The sequence below is a fragment of the Homo sapiens genome, chromosome 15, assembly GCF_000001405.40.
Source record: "Homo sapiens chromosome 15, GRCh38.p14 Primary Assembly".
In the NCBI taxonomy this organism is placed as follows: domain Eukaryota; kingdom Metazoa; phylum Chordata; class Mammalia; order Primates; family Hominidae; genus Homo; species Homo sapiens.
In genome coordinates, this window is record NC_000015.10 from 38,389,606 (window position 1) to 38,394,996 (window position 5,391).

The following is a 5,391-nucleotide window of genomic DNA, read 5'->3' on the forward strand; positions in this document are numbered from 1 at the left end:
GTTTGTAGCTGTTGTCTCTCCATCTATTCTGGGACTCTCTGTGGAGCCAAAGGGTCCAGATATTCCCTACCCCTGGCAGTTGGAACACAAGTGGCTGTGGTGGAACTGAAGGCCCAGTGTTGGCAAGGCCAGTGAGGGTTCTAGCCAGAGCAGTTTCGTAGTATCACCTTTCCGGTCCTAGTTCTTTTTCCTTCTTGTCAATTCTGTGAGCCAATCAATAGTCTTCAAATAAAACACCTTTCTGCCTACGTAAGCTGGAGTCACTTCTGATACTTGCATCCAAGGACTTTGAGAAGGGCATTATCTTACTCTGGTTTTGTTGTTGTTCATTCTGTTTTTAAAATTATGTACAAATGGTTCAAATACTTTTTTGGCATACAATGTTATGAATTTTAACATCTGTATGGATTAAAACACCACTGCAATCAGGATACAGAACAGTTCCATACCTGGCAAAACTCCTTTCTGCTACCTTTATGTAGTCATGCCTGCCCACTTACACTCATGTGCACCACCCAGTGGTCAGTCTGGGTAGTGGTCTATCATGAGTTCAGTTCTCAAAGTCTTTTTGGTAGGCCAATTGCGATCAGATCCGTACATGTACAACTAAAGGGTAAGCCCAGTAGTTAACAAACAACTTTATGGGTCACTTTCCAGAGCTCATACCTCTCTGCAATTTTCCAGTAATTTCAGGTTCTCAAGCTCTCCTCTTTGGGCCTGTGGCCAGCATGCAGAGGCTTTACTTACCCCGCTCTGCCATCCATGGGACCAAGTGGTAGAAGGTTGGTGAGACAGAGAGAGAGAGAGAAAAGGCAACAGGGTTTGCTCCATCCTCTTGGGATCACAGCTTCATGGTTTGGGGAGGAAATCTCCCCTCTATCACAGTTTTGGCTCCTGTTGAATTGCAGCCTCTACCACTGTTGCCATGGGATTGTGGGGTGCAAGCAAATGGAGAGAATGAAAAAGAGTGAGGGGACTTATACATCATCTTGGAGTTTTAGGAGTTCCTTTTTCTACTCCTGAGCCAGATCTAGAGGCTTGCTCTTGGACCTCTAGAGAGAGATCATTCCAGTGCCGGCTCCCCAGTTCAACAGTGCATTAAGTTTAGGCCATGAGATACCAGAAAGGAAAAAATGATAAACTCCACCAGTTTGGTGAAACTTTGAATTCTGGTCTTCTTCCTCAATCAGTCTGCTACCAATTTCATTCCAGAGTCCTCAAATAGGCTCATACACTCTGTCCAGAATTCAGAGTTGTGTTTACTAAGAGACATTTTTGTTTTTTGCAAGGATCCAAGGTGATATTGCATGTATTATAGCAGAATGCCTGATACAAATTGAAAGATCATTAAATATTAGATATTTTAACTCATTTATTCTGCTTAAGCTATTAACCAAAATTAATTATTAACATCAAATTTATTTTAAACTATTTAAGACCAAGAGACTGACTTAAAAACAATTTAAACTAACTTTAATTTACATTTTAAACAATTTAAATGCCCAGGACCCAGTATGATATTATGTTCTTTTGAAAAGACTTTCTCTGAAACACTTTTTCTCCTCCCCTGCCCACATTTTAAACTTGATTTACAGGTCAGGTTTATTTACAGTTGTGATGTGCTATGATATTTGTGTCACAGGACAAAACGATTTGAAGATGACCCTATACCCCTATCATCTGTAGGTCAAAACTGAGAGGTGAGGAATAGATGGGGCAGGGAAGCTCTGGTTCAAGGATGGTGTTTTTCTCCCTTCTGAGTCATCACTTGTGACCACAAGTCCATTAGTGTGGAGATTTTCAGGGGATTTTTTTGTTTGTTTGTTTGTTTGTAACTTAGGCCAGTGAAAAAAGAACAGGAATTAGAGTCTGAAGAATTCAGTTCATTGACACTAGGAGATGAACCAAACAAATCTGCCCACCCACAACCTGAAAATAAAACGTACACACATAAAATAACAATGTAATACATAATGTAATTAGTAAATAAAGCTGTATTGGAACGGGGTCACACTCATTTCTTTACATATTCTCTATAGTTACTTTCCTGCTATAACAGCAGAGTTTAGTAGTTGGAACATAAACCATTTTGCAAAACCTAAAATATTTACTGTATGGCTTTTTTACAGAAAAAGTTTGTGTAGAAAATCCAAAAGAATTGACAAAAATACTCCTGGAACTAATAAGTTATTATAACAAGTTTGGAGGATACAAGGTTAATATACAAAAGACAATTGCTTTCCTATATACTAGCAATGAACAAATGGAATCTGAAATTTAAAACATAATGCCATTTACATTAACACTCAGCTATAAGTCTTAAAAGTATGTACAAGATCTATATGGGGAAAACGACAAAACTCTGATGAAAGAAATCAAAGAAGATCTAAATAAATGGAGAGATAATTCATGCTTATGAATGGGAAGACTCCATATTATCAAGATGTCAGGTCTTCGTAACTTGATTTACAGATTCAGTGCAATCCCAATCAAAATTCCATCAAGTCATTTGTGGATACTGGCAAACTGATTCTAAAGTTTATATGGAGCAGTGAAAGACCTAAAATAGCCAATACAATATTGAAGGAGAAGAACAGAGTTGGAGGAGTGACACTCGAGAACTTCAAGACTTCCTAGAAAGTTACGGTAATCAAGACTGTGTGGTATTAATGAAAGAGTAAACAAATTAATGGAACAGAATGGAGAGCCCAGAAATCGATTCATGTAAATAGAGTCGACTGATTTTTGACAAAGGAGCAAAGGCAATAAAATGAAACAATGGACATCCATATGCAAACAAATGAATTTAGACTGAGACCCTTCATCAAAATTAACTAAAAATGGATCACAGACCTAAATGTAAAAGGCTATATTATAAAACTCCTAGAAGGTAACATAGGAGAATCAAGATGACCTGGTTTGGTGATGACTTTTTTGATGCAATACCAAAGGCATGAATTATGAAAGGAAGAATTGATAAACTGGACTTTATTAAAAATTTTTAGAGAACTGCTCTGAAAAATATACTTCAAGAGAATGAAAAGACAAGCCACATACTGGGAGAAAATGTTTGCAAAAACATATCTGATAAAGGACTGTTGTCCAAAATTAAAAAAACAAAAAACAAACTTAAAACTCAACAATAAGAAAACAAACAACCCAATTAAAAAATGGGCCAGGCCAGGCACTGTGGCTCATGCCTGTAATCCCAGCACTTTGGGAGGCTGAGGTGGGCAGATCCCTTGAGTCCAGGAGTTCAGGACCAGCCTGGGTGACATGGCGAAACCTCATCTCTACAAAAATTAGTCAGATGTGATGGCACATGCCTGTAGTCCCAACTACTCAGGAGACTGAAGTGGGAGGATCAGTTGAGTCCAAGAGGCAGAAGTTGCAGTGAGCTGAGATTGTGCCACTGCACTCAAGCCTGGGTGACAGAGTGGGACCCCATCTGAAAACAAAGGGCCAAAGGTCTTAACAGATATCTCACCAAAGCAGATATACAGATGGCAAACAAGCATATGAAAAGATGCTCCACCTCATTTGTCATCAGGAAAATGCAAATTAAAATAACAATGAGATACCACTACATACATATTAGAATGGCCAAAATCCAGAGCACTGACAACAACAAGTGGTGGTGAGGTTGTGGAGCAATGGGAACTCTCATTTATTGCTGATGGAATGCAAGGCTGTACAGCCACTTTGGAAGACAGTTTGGTGGTTTCTTACAAAATTAAACATAAGCATACCCTTACCATATCATTCAGCAATCACACTCCTTGGTATTTACCTAAAGGAGGAGAAAACTTTTGTCCACACAAAAATCTGCACAAGGATGTTTATAGCAGCTCCATTCATACTTGCCAGAAGTTGGAAGCAACCAAGATGCCCCTCAGTAGGTGAATAGATAAATTATGGTACATCTAGACAAGGGAATATTATTCAGAGCTAAAAAGAAGTGAATTATTAAGTCATAAAAAGACATGGAAGAAACTTAAATGCATATTACTAAGTGGAAGAAGCCAATCTGAAAAGGCTACATATTGTATGATTCCAACTATATGACATTCCACACCCACAGATGTAAACACCAAGAATGAGCCCCAATGTACACTATGACCTTTGGATGGTAATAATGTGTCAATGTAGGTTCATCAATAGTCATAGATGTACCACTCTGCTGCTGGATGTTGATATTAGGGGAGGCTATACATGTGTCGGGGAGGGGGATATATGACATAGCTCTGTGCTTTCCTCTCTATTTTGCTGTGAACCTAAAACTGCTCTTAAAAAAACAAGTATTAAAAAAAGTTTGCCAACCCCTGTTTTGGAGCTAACTCTGATCATTTGGGCAAATAATTTTTTCTCTCTCTGGGTACGTCTGTTTCCACATTTATATAAAAAGAAAGAGCTGAACTAGATAATCTGTAAGGCCCCATCTGTGCCTCACATGCTGTCTCTCTCTGCCACTATTGTTAAAGGACAACACACTATTGGTTGATTTTAAATGTTTACTTTTGGAAAATTTCAAACCTATACAAATGCAGAGAGAATGGTATAACAAGCCCTCATGTACTCATCACCCAACTTCAACAAATACAAACTCATGGCCAATCTGGTTTCATTCATACCCTCCTAACTCCCAGGCACTACCACCTACTACCACCCCACTAGATTTTTTAAAAGCAAAACCTAGACATTATCATGTCATTCATAAATATAGTATACAGCTCTAAGAGATAAGGGTTCTTTTTTAAAACATATGAAACTATTTAAAACATTTTTTGCTGAGATAAAATTCACCATTTTATCCATTTTACAGTATATAATTAAATGGTTTTTAGTATATACACAACGTTGTCCTTCACTAGTAAAGCTGTCCTTCTCTATGGTGGGCATGGAAAATAGGAAATTCCCTTCCATCACCCCAAAAAGAAAACCCTTACACATTAGCAGCCACTTCCAAATCCTCACAACCCTTTAGACTACTTTCTGTCTCTATAGATTTGCTTATTTCGAACATTTTATATAAATGGAATCATACAATGTGTGGCTTTTTTGGTCTGGCTTCTTTCACTTAGGATAATGTTTTCAAGACTCATCAATATCATAGAGGTATCAGTACTTCATTCCTTCTTCTGGCTGAATAATATTCCACTGTATAGGTAAACCCCATTTTGTTTTCCCATTCATCAGTTGATCAACATTTGGATTATTTTCTCCACTTTTTGGCTATTATCATCAATGCTATTGTGAAAATTCACGTATCACTTCTTGTGACAGCATATGTTTTCTTTTCTCTTGGGTATATACCTAGGAGTGGAATTACTGGATCATTGGTTATTCTACATTTAACTTTTTGAGGAATTGCTAGACCGTTTTCCAAAGTGG